The sequence below is a fragment of the Homo sapiens genome, chromosome 3 (genome assembly GCF_000001405.40).
Source record: "Homo sapiens chromosome 3, GRCh38.p14 Primary Assembly".
Taxonomy (NCBI): Eukaryota; Metazoa; Chordata; class Mammalia; order Primates; family Hominidae; genus Homo; species Homo sapiens.
In genome coordinates, this window is record NC_000003.12 from 64,222,791 (window position 1) to 64,240,244 (window position 17,454).

At 41.9% G+C, this 17,454-nt stretch overlaps 1 protein-coding gene across 2 annotated transcripts in view, besides 2 other annotated features; it reads right to left on the reverse strand.

The window, feature by feature from the left end:
* The window catches only part of PRICKLE2 (prickle planar cell polarity protein 2), a 175,938-nt gene that overhangs the window by 130,555 nt on the left and 27,929 nt on the right, over window positions 1-17,454 (reverse strand). Inside the window, exon 1 of one of the 2 annotated variants that reach the window (NM_198859.4) lies at window positions 2,120-2,676. The exons of the other annotated variant lie outside the window; for it this stretch is intronic. The gene's annotated coding sequence lies outside the window, so the exon portion shown is untranslated. Of the gene's footprint in view, window positions 1-2,119; window positions 2,677-17,454 lie in introns of those variants that run through there. 2 annotated transcript variants of the gene reach the window in all.
* Window positions 2,563-2,857: a silencer, noted in NCBI's record as "tiled region #502; K562 Repressive non-DNase unmatched - State 24:Quies". NCBI's record gives its function as "represses a minimal TATA promoter and a strong SV40 promoter by Sharpr-MPRA in K562 cells {active_cell/tissue: K562}" and the evidence as "EXISTENCE:reporter gene assay evidence [ECO:0000049][PMID:27701403]".
* Window positions 16,130-16,888: an enhancer, noted in NCBI's record as "H3K27ac-H3K4me1 hESC enhancer chr3:64224596-64225354 (GRCh37/hg19 assembly coordinates)". NCBI's record gives its function as "activates a minimal SCP1, AML or CMV promoter by ChIP-STARR-seq in naive and primed H9 embryonic stem cells {active_cell/tissue: H9 hESC(naive and primed)}" and the evidence as "EXISTENCE:reporter gene assay evidence [ECO:0000049][PMID:30033119]".

A 17,454-nucleotide genomic window follows, 5' to 3' on the forward strand; every position in this document is an offset into this window, starting at 1 on the left:
AAGGACTGTCTCTCACATGCATAGGTGAAGCAGAAGAGAAATCTAGAAATGCATTGATTCCAACTGGGACCCCGCAGCTTTCTACATGTGACTTGTCAGCTGCCAAAACAGGATGCCTTCTTTAAGGCTGCCTAAGCCCCAGTTAGTTCTAAATGATTTTCATTATACCAGCTGGTCACTTTCAGTTCTGTGAAATACAGTAGTTCTGGATAATATACTTTATTCTGTCAACTCAATCAATAGGGTGGAAAGTTTCTTTGAGTGGGAATCATTTGGATATAACAGTACCAGAGATGGCATCTTTTCTGCTAGCAAAACCTTTCTGCAGGCAAATGGATGTGAACATGTTGCCTTTTCAATACTGTTTTTTAGCAACAACACTTATAATGATAATGACAAAATGGTAACAATGACAACAACAACAACAACAATAGCAGCTAATATTTACTGAATATTTACTATGTGGCTGCCACTGTGCTCTGCATAGGTCATCTCATTAAATCCTTACACCTATCACCCTAACTATAGATTCCATTGCTCTCTCCACTTTACTGGCAGGAATGGGTAGCTTTAAGTATCTTCAGCTCTTTCCAGCTCCAGAGTCTGAGCCCTGGATAAATATCATCTCATACTATCTAACCTCTAAGTTCCCTTCTCATTCTTTAAGCTTCCATAAATGCATCTTTCTTCCTCTATTTCTATTTTATTCCCTCACATTTCATGGGTAAATCTTTATAAACACACCATTTCAAACAATGCTATTTTACTCTTTCTGGCTGCCCCGTGAATCTTTATAGACTGAGATGCCCGATGGAGCCAGTATGTTTTAATTTTCACATGAAAAACAGAATTCCCAAGGGGAAGGAGCATTTGATGGAAAGGCAAAACCTTTATAAGCACTCAAGGCATTAAAATCCAAATTTCCAAAATATGGTAATTATGTCAAAGTTGTGACTTACTCTGGAGCCCTTGGGGACCCTCATCCTGACCCATCTGTGAAAGCCATCAGCAGGCAGTAAGCCTTCTGAGGAGCAGGATTACAGCAGCCAATTTGGCCTCTAGCAAAGAGGCAAGGCTGCTTCATTTAGTTTAAGTCTCACTGAGATGGTTTAAAACACTCTTTGGGAAGAGATGTGCAGGCAAAGCAAATCACAGCCTTACCAGCTGCAGATTCAGTACACGGCAGTCTATGTCTACATATTCATGGCACACTGGAGCCCTCCCCTGACTGTGCTCATACATGCATTGATATGGGAAGCAGAACTCTCTCACTGGGGAAATAATCTATGTGCCTAAGTTAGACAAGAGCCACATTTGGACCAGCGGATGGCATCACATCTGGTATGGATCGCTAACCTCAGTGTGATTTGGCCCAGCCTGGATTATTTATGATTCATAAAAGTCCCACTGGACCCCAGCATAGTCCAAGACCACATAACAAAAAACCATGGGATTAAAAATCTGTATTTCATTGCAAGACCCCCATGGCAAATTAGTAATGCTATGATTGGTTTTCGAGAAGCCAAGAGTGAGGAGAACTAACTATGATCACTCCCTCAAGAAACCCAGCATAGAGGGCAAACCGAATCATGTGTTCAGCCAGGCTATGCAGTCATATTCTGAAGCTCTGTCACCATTTCTAATCTGAAAGCAGTGTCTAAAATTAAACCTAAATAATTTGAAAGCCATTTCTTTACCTGGAAGTCTCAGCTGAGTCCTTGTTCCTCAGATCCCCTAATGGTTTCTGACATCATGTGTTGAAATGACTACTGTACATGAACGCTATCAGGTATTTGGTCTGTTAGCCCCTTTCCCCATATTATTATGGTTTTTTAAAGAAAGCTACACTTTTAGAGAAACGCTGCTTCTTCTTAAGCATCAAGATTTAAGCGTTTCTTCAGGACTCCCTAGAGCTGTGACATAACACTTTGTAATCGAGCTTTCTAATCAGCATAGAAAAGGCAAAAGGGGTCGCAGGGCCACCAAAAATGCTACCTGGCCAAGAAAACGAAGACCCAATATCCTCCCCCAGTGCAAAGGCCCTAGATCTGGCTTTCTCATCCTCCTTAGAAAATATACTGCTGTTTAATTTGTGAATTAGAGCAAATTTCTTACCCACCTCCAGGGAGGATGAAATGCCCAGTCTCGGAGGAAGCTTCTGCCAGACCCTTGGAGCTTGTCAATTGTCCCAGTTCACTTTCTCCCTGGATCTGACTTCTAAGAACGCAAGCAGGACCTCAGGCAGCCAAAGCATCTTCTCCTCAAACCCCCTTTTCAGTCTGAACCCTTCCTGAAGCTGGCAACAGACTCAAGCCGAGCTGCTCCACATTCCCTCAGGGAAAACAGCACTGCTGGATCCAGACTCTGCTGGGGAATTCACCAAGCAAGAGAAAAAAAGTATGACTTCTACTCTTCCTCTAGATCAGCCTGAGTGCTCAGATCGCCTTCCGGAGGACCCCCAGTTTCCTCTTAACTCCCCTTCTTCATGACAATCTGAAGGAAGAAGTCATAGACTCCAGCCCAGCGTCACCAGCTGATCCTGAGCCAGACCCGGGGTGACTAGTCAGCTGCTCACAGAGCTCAAGCCACTGAACCAGGAAATGTGCTGCTTGGTCAAAAAATAATAATAACTCTCGGTGGCGCTGCTGGTGGTGCCTGAGAAGTCGCTGTTGCAGTGCTTGCATCCTCCGCATGCTAATGAAGCTGTGATGTCAGCAAGTCAGTCACGGCATCTGGACGTCCCATCCTGCTGCCCAGTGCTGAGATTTATTTACATGTAAATTAGCCTTGCCTTCCAAATCAATAATCCCCAAGCCAGGGAGAGGGGAAGGAAGCCTTTGCTGGATGCAAAGGCCCAGCTACGTAACCTCCAAATGAGCATGAAAAAAATCACATATAAGAAGAGAGGCTTTAAAGACACATGCCTATTTTTTTTCTTCTTAAAAGCTGTGCTCTTAGGTGCCAAGGTTCAGATCTGGGCACAATTATCAACCTGAGCGCCTGTTTCAGATTATATGCTGCACCAACCTAGGAGTGGAATCAGAGCACTCTTTTTTTAATTAAATGCTGTGTCAAGCCTTCAAAAATGCCTCTCCTTTTTTTTTTTCTTTCTCTTCTCTCTTCAACTTTCATTTTCGGGTGTTGCTTGTTTTTTGGCCTGAGACTATGTCACCTTTGAGTTTTTGTGCACCTCGAAATAAAGCACAAGTGACTCCTTTCCTCACGTGCTTGGGTGGTGAGTCAGTCAGCTGCCCTTTAACCCCTTACCCCAATTCCAACTGCATGCAGAAGAAGACAAAGCATAAACCTTCCCAGGGCATCTGAAGACCCTGAGACCCTCAGAGAGCATTGCTTCCATCTCCTCATTTTACAGATTAGAAAATGGAGACAACTGGAGAAAGGACTTTTCTAAAGTCACACCAGGATTTCAGCAAGGATGGGTCAGAATCCACATTTCCTAGACCTCAGATAGAGCTTTTGTTGAATACCTTTGGGGTCTCCGAGCTCCATTTTTATACACCACTAGGCGGCCTAACCAAGCAATCTGGAAGAAAGGAATCTATACATTTGGAGAGCCCTGTGTTCAAATCCTGCCTTTCCTTCCTGCTAGCAGTGTGATCTTAGGCAAGTAACTTAACTTGTGGGATCTTCAATAACCTCATCTGTACCATTCACTCATTCAATAAATATTTACTAAGCACGTACTCTATGCCATGCACAGCTCTAAAGGCTAGGTATAAACACAGTCTCTGCTTTCAAGGGCCTTATGGGCTACTGCAATTAAAGAAAGTAAAATATTGAATAGAACTATGGTGAAGATTAACACAATATCACATACTCAATAGCTATTTCTGATATTTTGAATGAAGTTAGAAAAATTCACCGAGGCATACTATCTACTAGGCTGATCACTGTTCCTAGCATCTGAGTATTTCCATGGTCATCTTTAATTGTTTAAAATCATATATTCCTTCAATGCTGCCTGTGCAGTATCCCGGGCCAGGAGAGAGGCAAGAGCCAGGCAATATTCTGGACTCTGTGCCTGTGATAAGGAAGCACTGTGAGTGAAAGTAAAGGGTGAGGGAAAGGTTGGGGAGGCTGGGAGGGAGGAATATTCCATCATGCACAGAAGTGTCCCAAAGGACAAAGCAGCTAGCACGGCTCCTTGCCCACACTCCCCCGCCTGGGGAACCCACTCTGATGAGCTCTGCCCTTCCAGCTGCAGTTCCTGAAGCTTCAAATGAATTTCTTTGTTGGATGTGGGGAAGTTAAATTATGTCTTTTGTTGTATGTAATTGTATTAATAATGCTTAATAACTTCTTTCAGAATGCTTCTCTCTAGTTCCCAGAAGACCTTTCATGGTGAAAATCATGAGACCTGGAATAACTTCTCAGTAAGAGAAATAAAATACAAGCAAATGAATAACACTCAGCCTTCAGTTTCCATCACACAGAACTCAGAGCGTGTAGGGAGGCAGATGGTCTCCCCAGACCTCAATATCCTTCAAAAAGTCAATTAGCAAGTCTAACAGTTTGGGGCCCCCAGTAGCCAAGTGGAAGCAGTGACATTCTAACCCAGTGTGGCCACGAACAAGTCACTTCAACTTTCCATGCCTCAGTTTCTTAAAAATGGGTACACTACTCTCTCATCTACTCATGATCAGCATGGTCATATAAGAGGCAATTCACAGGTGATCAACAATGAAATAAAGAAGACAGCTGAAACATAGCAAGAGATTACTCTTCACCTGGAACAGATGTGACACATCACTACCAACTTCATAAGAATTAACATCATAACATGGAGTCTAAAATGGATTGCCTGGGGTCAGACTCTGGCTGTGACACTTGCTAGGTCTATGACTTGAGGCCTGAGGTCCTTATATGTAACCTAGGGCATAATGATAGTGCCTACCTGCATGGGGCCATTGGGAGAATCCAATGAGCATTAATGTGAATCATTTAACACTGAGCCTGTTACATAGCAAACACTCAATAAGTGTTAGCTATTGGTAATATTAATAGAAACAATCATGCTTCCACCATTAACTTCAGCGCAAATTAGTTAAGTAACCAGTTAAAATTCAAAAGGTGGGGAGAAAGCGGTAAAGGGAAGACTGCAAAATCATCTTTATTCCTAGAGCATATCTCAAAGTTCTATCTAATGTGGGTGAGCCACTGATATGCCATTTTCCATATGATACAATACAAATGCTTTGAACTGCTATGAATCTAGGAAATAAAGGAGTAAAAATGACCAAGAGGCGGGCTCCCTCTTCTGAAACTATACACCAGGACAAGACAACTATATTTTTGAGATGAATACATGCTTCACCCATTCATTCATATATCCATTCACTCATTAAATAAGCTCCTACTATTTGCCAGTCACTGTGCTAGGGTCTGGGGACAACATGGTGACCAAGATACACATGGATCCTGCCTTAAAAGAGCTTGGCAATCAGAGAGAAGACAATTAAGTAGGCAATTAGAGTAGAATGGGGTGTGTGTTATGGCAGGAGGCATGCAGAGTCCTCAAAGGCCTAATTGCATTCAAGAGAGGGATGGCACAAAAGCATGCTGCCCAAGTCCTTTTGCCAGCACACGCTCTGTGAGCTCAGCTTGGTGATGAGGAAGCTGGATATCTATGCATCACACTTACACAGAATATTAAAATTACAAAATCCACAGATTGTTAATTCCCTGTGGTCATTATTTTCATCCTGGAGACCATTCTAATGAGGTGTTTTTTTTTTTACAAATTATACTGGTAGGTATTAGAAAAAGTGAGAAAAAACTACTTTAAAAATTTCAGAGACTTAGTAAATAGGAACAAAACTCATATTGTTTTTCTAAAAAACAGTGAAATTCCACATTCATGACAGCAAACTTCATGCGAGTAAAGGCAGGGAAGAACAGGTAATACATATGAGAAACTCAACCAAATGTTTATTAGGGATTTGTGAAGCGGAGGACACTCTTGTCAGGAGACAAGGATGCAACTGTCGACCTTCAGAACTTTCTGTTTAGGTAGAATGATAGGATATTTATACAAATGACCATAATTGCATATAGTATATAGGAAAAAGGACAAGGAAGACAAAATTAATTATGGCAGAGGTGATCAGGAACCAGGAAAAGTATGATCTGGGTCAGGCCCAAGGTCAAAAACGCTTTTACTTTTTTGGAATTAAAAAACAATTTTATAGTGGGGGAAGGCCTTACTAAGCATGACACAAAATCCAGAAGTAGAAAAAGGCTGCAAAAATTTGACCTTAGTCAAATTCACCTTCTGCTAGAGGTGTTCCAGGCAGGAATAAGAACATGAGTAGGAAGGAAAATTATGAACACAAATGCATAATTAAGAGACATCTGCATGGACACAAGACAGCAAAACAGCAGCAACATGACACTGGCAGGTAATAACAAAGAGACAGCTCCATGCATGCTGGAAAATCAAATCATCTTTCCATTCTAGCCAGCTTTAGGCAGCATCTTGTTAGAGGATTACAGGGAAAGGTCAAGTACATCTCTACTGGTCAGGTTACAGAAGGGAAGGGTAAGTGACAGGAAGGGTGGTAGCCTCCTAGATGAAGAGCTGTAATGAGGAAGGCTGCAATGAACAAGTTTTAAATCTCTGTTTCTACAGGTATAAAATAAGAAGGAATGGATTTAAACGACCTAAAGAGGGTCCTAAATTCCTCTTTAGGTCATTTAAAATCTTTCTTGGACCTAAGGAAGACTTCTGAATATTGAGATAAGAACTGACATGGGTCACTCAAGGAAATGGCAGTGTTTCAGTTTTTGGAGAACTTTAAAAAGACAGACATCACTCATCCTAGCTCATTTAGATTACTACCTTCTGGCCCTGCTATTGGGAAATTCTAATTGTTGTAAGGGATATTACCAAAGTTTCAAACCACTCATCTAATAAGGTTTCCCTTTTCAAATGTGTGCATTTCTGTGTGTGCGTGCTTTTAAATATTTTACTCAAGAGTAATCCTGATATTTAGATTTCAAAGTCTAATAAAGTAAATGTGGGAGAGGAAGCTGACAAAGAACTGTCATGTAAGTTGGTCTAGCATAGGTGATGATGCAGTAACATATGATCCCAGATGTCAATGGCTTAACACAAGAAAGTTTGATTTCTCTCTCAGGCAAAGTTGGTTGGAGGCCCAGAGGTTTTCCAGGTACTCCATTCTAAGTAGCGACTCAGGGATCTACTCTGCTTCCTTCTTGTGCCTCTGTGATCTCAGTGAATAATTTCCAAGTTACAACAACAGCAGAAGAGAGAACTGAAGAGGCTTTTAGGTGCCTCAGCCTGGAGATGAATGATATCACTTCTAGTGGTCAAACTAGTCTCATGACCTCACCCAGCTGCAAGGAGGCTGGGAAGTGTATGCTCACAAAGAACAGGGAAAACAGACAATGGAGGACCCCAGTAATGTCTGCCATAGCTGTCCATTTTAATTTGTGCTATGTAAAAACATTAAACAAAACAAAATACAATCTATTAAACACATAATGCCTTTAAACAAAGGAATGTTTAACATTTAAAAAACTATGATAGTCCTAAATGAGTATTAGAGATCAAAGTTGCATCTGTTTTACCTCAGAACAAAGAAAAAGAAAATATTGTAAATTTTAATTAACTTTCAAGCAACAACAGGCAACCCACGTAACCATAAAGAAAATAAATATTTGAAACATGTGAAGCTTCTACAATGTAGGTAAAGATGCATAGCTGCATTCATAAAAAAGAAATGCTCAAAAGAGTTATCCTCAACAGTTTCTAGCCAATTTCTAATCCATACTGATAATCTGCCTCCTGCAACGGGCAGAGTATTGTCATTGAAAAACTCCAACAAAAAAGACCTGAATTCACATCTGGCCCAATTACCTCCTAGCAGCATGACCTAGCAGATGACAGCTACCTCACCTCTAAGCCTCAGTTTCACCATCTATAAAATGGAGACATCTCTTTATCAAAGGCTTCGGTAAGATTAGATGAACTGAGATATATAAAGTACTGTGTAGAGTACCTAGCATATAGTAGGTGTTAAATCAATATTATTCTCCACTTGGTTTCCAAAGAAGGCAACAGGAAGGAGAGCTGCAAATATAAATGATAAAACTGTTCATGATAACATAAGGACAAGCACCCCCTCAAGCCTTCTGTCTTGTCCATTTGTGAAGATTCCATATCATAAACGCTTCTTATCCATGGACATTTCTAAATCTTGTGAAAAATAATTTGGTACACTTTAAATTCAGAAAAGGGGCCTTCCTTTTTCCCTATCATCTTAGGAATCTGTCACATTTCATACATTTTAATTATTCTTGATCCCGATAATCTAACACACAAAATTTTAACACAGCCTTTTATCCTCTTTTAATTACATTAATTAAAATGAGAAATATGGACAGGCTAGACTGTGCACATCAAAATGAAAGAGTGCTAAAGATTTTGCTCCCTCCCCACAAAAACATTAAAGATTGCATCAATGATTTCACTAGGCATACCATTGCACATTTCCATGAAAATATTGTTAAACTGACATGATGTGCTAGCAAATGGTTTTTCCTTAGACAAAGAAAGCTGCACTTATAATGGCAGGTTTTGGGAACTACTAATTTTCATTAAACAGCTGAAACCTGAATTTTCTTTATGTAAAGGACTAGGAGAACAACAAAGATCTGTACAGGGATGCTCTGGTTTTTCAGTATTCCCTAAATACGAACACTCAGGTTCCTACACGTTTCTCTTGGAAGAGAACATTGGCAAAATGAATGATATCCTAGAAAAAGGCTAAAAACTCTCTGCCTCATAAAGTAGCAAACTGGCAACAAAGACCTGCTCAAGAAAAATTATTACTACAAAATGCCACAGAGGTACAAACTAAAATATTGTTTTTCTAAAGGAATGAGGAGGACTGGACATACCAGACATCTTGCATACTTTATCTCATTTAGTCCTCACCATAAACCAAAAATGTAGCATTTATTATCCCCTATCATACAGATGAAGATGCAGAGGTCCAAAGAGGATAAAAGAATGATGCAAGGGTCCACAGCTGAAGTTTGGTCTTGGGTCTGACGACAAAACCCATATTCTTTCCTTTACTTCAGAGGATCACAAATTTCCTCTAAAAACAAAAACGAAAACAAAAACAAAAACCAGGTGTGTTCCCATTAGGGTGTGAAGTGTGGGAAATAATGTGTTATTAAAAACAGAAAAACACAGAAGGTTCCCTGTGCCATCAGATTAGATCAATTCCTTTGTACAAGGGAAGAGTACATAGAGTGTTGCACTCTTAGATGTGTGTCCTTTCCCTTAGGACTCTCATTCTGGTTCACAGTTCTACATCCTTGGTTAGTTATGATGATCCATCCTTGGTCAATGTTAACGATTATGTGATTAACCTCTCTCTCTTACTAACCAGACTCTATGTGGCCTAAGAGCAGAGACCATGCCTTTTGTGGCTCACCATTCTATTCAAAGGATCTACTGCTTTGTGGCCTGACAGCTAATGAACATTTTTGGAATTAATAAAAAGCTTGACAATGCTTCTTCTAATCTAGAAATTAGAGGAATTTCAGGATTATTCCTGTAAGAATACCTCTCTGTTCATTTGCATTCCAACATACTCTTGTGAGTGGGAAAGGAAAGGATGGAGTTCAGCTCACTGAAACACTTCTTAGCTTTGCTTCCAGGATGCCACATTCTCCTGCTTTCCCTCCTACCCTCTGGCTGCTCCTTCTCAGGCTCTTTTGCTGGCTCATGCTCATCTCCTTCAGAGCTTAATGCTGGAGAACCTGCGGCTAAGTCCTGGGACTCCTGTATATCTACATTTGCTTCTCTGGTCTAGGGTAGGGTCTTAAACACACCTTTAGGCTGATGACTCAAGGCGAGACCTTTTCCATGATCTCAAGACCAACTGCCTATGTCACATCTCCATCTCTTAATTCCCAGTTGAGTCCACACCATATCCCCCACAATCTGCTCCATCTGTAGTCTTTGCTATCTCAGTTAATGGCAACTCCACACTCCCAACGGATGAGAACAAATACCTTTGAGCCATCCTTCACCCCTGACATCTAATCCAGAGGAGGTTGACAAACTATATCCCACAGGCCAAATCTGGTTTGCTTCACGTTTTTGCAAATACTTTTATTGGAACACAATCATGACCATTCATTATGTGCTATCTATGGCTGCATTCATGATACAATGGCAGGGTTGAGTCATTGTAACAGAGAACGTACAGCCTGCAAAGCCTAATACATTTACACTCTGGTCCTTGACACTGAACATTTTCCAGCCCTTGGCAAATCCCGTTAGCTCTACTGTCAAAATATACACAGGATCTAATATCTTTCCTCCACCATCATCACACTGGTCCATGCCACTGCCATTTCTCTCCTGGATGAAGTTCCAAGTCACCATCAACTCTTGCCTCCTACCTGGTCTATTATTGCTCCCCTTCAGTCTATTCACAAAACTGCAGTCATCTTGATTCTCTGAAAACAAACATTGCAGCATGCCATGCTTCTGCTCAAGACTACACTGGTGATGCTGCTCATCTCAGAATAAGTCCCTGGAGATCTAGGTCCTATTGCTTCTCCGACACTATCTCCTGCTACTGTCTCCCTTCCTGTCACATGAACACTGGCCCTCAAACATGCCAGGCACATGTGTGCCTCCTGGTCTTTGCACTTGTCTGAAATATTCCTCCTGCAGAAAGTCATGTGGCTTGCTCTGTCACTATTTCAAGTCTAATGTCACCTTGGTGAGGGCTAAGTCTTACCATCCTATCTGAGATTGTCATCCTTCCCGCATCTTACTAACATGGCCAAACAATTCCCTACTTTATTTTTCTCCTTAGATCCTTTTAAGAAGAGTTATATTGAAATATAATTAATATACTATACAGCTCACCCATTTAAGTATATTCATAGGGTTGTACAACCATCACCACAATCTAACTTTAAAACTTTCTTCAATCCAAAAAGAAACCCTCTAGTAAGCAGTAGTCACTCCCCACTTGTCCCACTGCTCCAGGCCTAGGCAAACACTAATCTACTTTCTGTCTCTATAGAGTTGCCTATTCTTGACATTTTATATTAGTGAAAACATATAATATGTGGCCCTTTGTGCCTGGCTCTTCACCTAGTGTATTTTTGGTTCATCCTGTAGCTTATATCAGAATTTCATTCTTTTTATGACAGAGTAATATTCCATTGTACTAATATACATCATATTCATCTATTCATCAATTGATGGATATTTGGGTTGTTTCCAGTCTTTATGATTATAAATAATGCTACTATGAACATTCACGTATAAGTTTTTGTGGGGATGCATGCTTTTTATTTTCCTTGGATACATATCTAGTAGTGGGATTGCTGGGTCGTATAACTCTAGGTTTAACATTTCATAGAACCATCAAGCAGTTTTTCAAAGTGCTCCTCCAGTTTCACATTCTCACAAGTGATATCTGAAGCTTCCCATTTCTTCATCTTTGCCAAAACTTGTTACTGTCTTTTTTATTATAGTCATCCTAGTGGGTATGAAGTAATACCTCATAGTGGTTTTTATTTGCACTTGCTTAATGGCTAATAATGTTAAACATCTTTTCATATGTGTGTTGGCTATTTGCATACCTTCTTTGGAGAAACGTATATTCAAATTTTTTGCTCATTTTAAAATTGGGCACACGTGTTAAAATTAGTAAGTTATAAAAGTTCCTTGTATATTCTGGGAACATGTCCCTTATTAGATATATGATTTATAAATGTTTTCTCCCATCATGTGGGGTATATCCTTTTTCTTGATAGTGTCTTTGAAGCATAAAGATTTCTAATTTTGATAAAGTTCGTTTATCTATTTTTTCTTTTTTCCCTTGTACTTCAGTTCCGCTTTTTAAGAGCATTCTTCTAGGTCTCTGCCAGAACTACAAAGTCAGCTGTCGTTCCCTTGTAAGTGATGAGTTGTTTTCTCTTGCGGTTTTCAAGATTTTCTTTTTGTCTTTCAACATTTTGATTATGAGGTGTTTGAGTGTGAATCTCTTTGAGCTTACCTACTTGGAGTACTTTGGCTTCCTGGATGTGTAGACTAATACTTTTCATAAGACTTCGGAAGTCTTCTACCATTATTTCTTCAAATATTTTTTCAGCTTTTTCTCTCTCCTCTTTTACTTGTCCCAGTAAGCATATGTAGGTGTGCTTGATGGTATCTCACATTTCTTAGGAGCTCTGTTTATTTATTTTCACTCTCTTTTCTCTGCTCTTCAGCATACACAATCTTTATTGACCTACCTTCAAATCTGCCAATATTTTTCTTCTGTCAGATTAAAATCTACTCTTGAACCCCTCTAGTCAATTTTTCATTCCAGTTATTATACTTTTCAACTCAAAATTTTCATTTTTATAATTCTTTTCTAACAATTTCTCTTCACTGATATTCTCTACTTGATGAGATGCTGTCATCATGCCTTCCTTTAATTGTTTAGAAAGTTTCATGTAGTTCTTTGAACACATTTATAATTGTTGCTTTGAAGTCTTTGCCTGCTAGCTCCAACATTTGGACCCTCTCACGGGCAGTTACTTTTGTTTTCTTCCTGTATATAGGTCACACTTTTCTGTTTCTTTGCATGTCTCAAAATATTTTGTTGAAAAATGGACATTGTAGATACTATATTATAGCAATTCTGGATATTGACTGTGCACCACCACCCTGCCCCCCTTCTGGAGCTTTTTGTTGTTGTTTGCTTATTTGTCTAGTGGCTAGGCAGACAAGTTGAGCGAAGTCTGTTTCCCTGGCAGTGTGCAGCTTCTGATGTCCCTCCGGAGGGCCTGAGACCAGTTTTCCTATTGATATCACACCCAACAGTTAACCTCCACTAATCACTAGCTGATTGTTCTATTGTTTTGACAATTCCTTTTGGCATAAATTGTTCCACAGTCTGATCTGATGAAAGCTGGGTTCCTTTGCAAGGGTAGGGTGTTGCCAGTCTTTGAGGCTGCCCCTCCCAGTGTGAAAGCATAGCCCGAGACTAGAAGCTAGGTGGAGAAAGAGCCCAATCTGCTTGACTGAACATACCCAGAGTGGAGTTTCCATCACACTGATCTGCGTTGTGTGTGTGTAGTTGGGGGAGGGGCAGTATGTGGCAGGGGTACCTGGAGAAGAGAGGATCATGGTTAAAATGCCATAGACTCTCACTCTTCTTACTAAGATTTAGATTTCCTTGTGTTTTTCCATTTGTTGTATACCCTTGGGACAATTTCCAGAAACTTTAAAAGGTTGCTTATATTTTAAAATAATTTTCGGCAAATGATTGTTTTGTTGATTAAAGAGTCTACCATGCTCCTCACACTGCCATACTGGAAGTTGATGCCCAACACCTAGCATACTTAGATCATGATATGTTTGACTTGTTTATGCTGCTTTATGTCAGTTTTATTCAGCCCTCGATCCCCAGGGCCCAGAAAAATGCCTGGCACATAGTAGGTCCTCAATAAATATGGGTTGAATAAAGAAATGAAAGAAGAAATGCCCATGACCCACAGCCTATCCTATGTATGCCATAGCCAACCATAAACTGCCACAGCTGATGTTCTTTATCCATGGTTATGACAATTAGTAACCCAAGCTAATCACAGCCTAGGGACACTGTCACATCTGTGAATTTCATTAGCCAGGTGACTGATGAAAAAAAAGAGAATGAGGAATGTAACTACAGCTTACATATCCCTCAAACCATTGAACTGGATCCTAGCTCTGTTCCTTCTAATCTTAAATATTCCATAAGACCTATAAATAACTTGCTCTAAATAAATAAAAGACATCTAATTTATCTTGGTTTGAAAGAAAGTCCTGCTATAATGGAACTCACCCTGGTATTAGAATTAAGAGTCTGTGTTTGATCCTTGGGCTATGGCTCTTGCTGTCTGTGTGATGTTGGACAAAGTTATTTAACCTCTCTGCTCTTCAGAAGCCTCCTCTGAAAAACATGAATGACGGTGACAATTGTATTATCTTCACAAAGCACTTTGTATGGTGTCAAATACACCAGGAGTGCTCAGTAAGTGTAAGGTACTATTATTATCTGCCAAAGAGTAATCATAGATCTTCCCACTTATCATGCTGCGGTGATCTCTGCATCTGAGTGAAATGGGATAGTTCCCTTAACCCCTTTGTGGGACTCATGAAGGGGTTGGCTCATTTATTCAGCCTACAGCTCTCAACGCCTCACAGGATGGGGAGCACGCAGGTGAGTGGGTTCAGAGGCCAGGATGAGCACTTATGGGCAATCGGCAGGAGGAGAACTCCATGCAAGCCCGCAGCAGTGTCTAGGGATTGTCTATGAGCCCCAGAGCTCCAGAGGGCGTATGTTACAATGTGCTCTTTTAGTTTTGGCATCTGTGGATGGCTTAAGTGTTAGCTCAGTGGAGGGTCAGTGTGACAGCCTGTTGCATCTGCACCCTGGTCCTTGTCTGGCATCCAGCAGGAATCAGGTTGCACAAATGAATTGAAGATAATAAATGTGGAGGATTTTATTGCCAATTAAAGTGGCTCTCAGTGGGATGGGGAGCTGGAAAGGGGATTGAGTGGGAAGGTAGTCTTCCCCTGGAGTTCGGCCATCTCCGGCCGAACTCTTCTCCGAGGTCCCACTGCCAAGCCATCCCTGTGAAATCAAGTTGCTTCTCTTGGACATTCAGCTCCTTCTCTTCTCTCCTTTCCTGCCACTCTGCCACTCCACCTCTCTGCCCTGCTCCTCTGCCAGTGGAGCCTGGGGTTTTTATGGCTACAGGATGGGAGGTGGGGCAGACCAGGTTAGTTTTGGAAAAGGCAAAATTTGGGCAGGAAAACAGGAATGCATGTTCTCACTTTGGGCCACGCATCCAGGCTTGAGGGTAGGGCTTCACCGGGGGGCCCCACCCTTTTCTGCCTAGTATTTCCCTGCCTCCTGTCCATATCATAAGGAGACAGTAGCCATGAAGGTAAATTCTGTGGGATGTATTGTACAAAATTTACCTTCCTAGAACTGCAGAACTAACTCCTCTTGGCTTGCCAGGATGAGAAAAAGCCCCTTTCTTGTTTGTTTGTCCATCATTCTCCTCCTCCAAGTCTGCTTTTCACTCTTCCACCCCTAGGCTAACTCAAACCCTGCAGGAGGTTGCTGGGAATTCTGCCTGAAGACTGTCAACCCTCCCTGAGAGCAAGAAGTTCAGTGGACAAGGCCATCATTTTGAAAATGGCCTTGCAGCCACCATCTTGATCAGGGGAGGACCAGACCAAAGCAGGGTCCAAACTATAAGAAGCAGGTATCAGAACCTGAAACAGTTGAAATGAACAGAAGAGGTTTAGTTATATACCACAACGTGCTTCCTTTTAGAAAACTTGGTAGTATTGGCTGGGTGGGGTGGCTCACACCCGTAATCCCAGCCCTTTGGGAGGCCAAGGCAGGCAGGTACGAACGAGGTCAAGAGATTGAGACCAGCCTGGACAACATGGTGAAACCTCGTCTCTACTAAAAGTACAAAAATTAGCTGGGCATGATGGTGCCTGCCTGTAGTCCCAGCTACTCGGGAGGCTGAGTAGGAGAATCACTTGAATCCGGGAGGTGGAGGTTGCAGTGAACCGAGATCACGCCACTGCATTCCAGCCTGGCAACAGAACGAGACTCCGTCTCAAAAAAAAAAAAAAAGAAAAAAGAAAAGAAAAGAAAAGAAAAAAGAAAACTTGGTAGAATTAGGGCTAACATGTAGGGGTCTGAATCACCAAGAGAGCCAGTGTCTGTAAGAGGGAGAAAAGGTCCCCTGCTGCCAAGGACCTCTGGATAACAGGCACTGTGTCAGGCAGGAGGTGGGGTAAGGCAAGTTCTGTCCCTACCCCTTCTTATTAGCTGTGTGAATTGGGACAAGTCACTTTCCTTCTTTGAGTCTCATCTAAGAATCTCTGCCACATGGGTTTTCTGAATTATATGAGGTAATGCAGGTAAAATTGCCAAACATACAGCAGGTGCTTACTAAATGTTTATCAAGTCTGAGTATAAACACACTATCAATCTTGCTCTGTACAGCGAGGGCATCTGAAGCCCTCTGATTTGAGTGGCCATCAGCAGACACCAGTCAGCCCACCCAACCCAAGCCCATGGAATCCCTGGCAGCCAGGGCAGTTTTCAGGCTGCCTGTTTATTCTTCTAGCTCCCTGAGATGCCACAGCAAGCAGGAGCCCTGCTGGTGCATCCTCAGGGTCACCAGGGGACAGGCCCAGACGGATGTCAGAGCAGACTGCCTTGGCGAATTATTTAGCACCCTCCTCTGAGGGGGCCAGGCATGCACCTCACAGCCGGCTCCACACACCACAGGGCGAGGTAGCAGCCTCTGACTCATCCGTCAGGCACCACATTCCTCTTCCCTTAAATGGAGCACACAGAGCCCTGCTGGGGGGCGGGGGGCTGGCAGCGTCCTCTCTGCTCAACTCATCACAGCTGGGGCAGCTGTGGAAGGAAGGGCTGTTAGGAGCGTGGCCAAAACAGAGATACACAGAGGAGGTTCAGCTCGCTGGGATGAGGGGAGACATATTCTGCAATAAGAAACACCAGGAATGAAAGAAAGTTACAGTCAGCCAGTGGCCGGAGATAGCTGCCCAGGGAACATGGAGATGCTTCCCGGAGGGATCCTTTGGCAGAGCCAAATCTGAGCCACCAGGTGCTATCCACAGACATTCCGAAGGCCTGTAATCCTGTAATCCTTTGGGACTCTCTAAGATAATTGCTATCAGGCACTCCCAGCCACAGGGACAGGGGAGGGGAGGTGATTTATAAGCCAGATTTATAGGTGACATTTACTGCAGACACAAATCTAATTCAACCCTCATAGCAACCCTTCAAGGTTATACCTATGGTTGCTTATCACAGATAAGAAAACTGAGGCTCAGAGAAATCAAAATAATTATTAAGTGTAAGCATCCGTCTAATTTCTGAATCGATTTCCTTTTTCTTTTATTTATTACTGTTCTTAAATTTTCCATGTAGGGCTTGGTGCTGTGGCTCATGCCTGTAATCCCAGTACATTGGGAGGCCAAGGCAGGTAGATTGCTTGAGCCCAGGAGTTTGAGACCAGCCTGGGCAACATGACAAAACCCCATCGCTACCAAAAAAAAAAAAAAAAAAAAAAAAAAAAATTAGCCCAGCATGTGACTATAGTCTCACCTACTTGGGAGGCTGAGACAGGAGGATCACTTGAGGCTGGGAGGTCGAGGCTGCAGGGAGCTGTGTTCACACCACGGCACTCCAGCCTGTGCGACAGAGACCCTGTCTCAAAAAATAAATAAAATTTTCATTTAGCCTGCTGAATCTGTTCTTTCCATTCCATCCTAGGATTGAGTCGAATGTGATATAAGGGACACCTGGGTTTGGCCAGTTACATGGGGAGGCCATGAGGTCA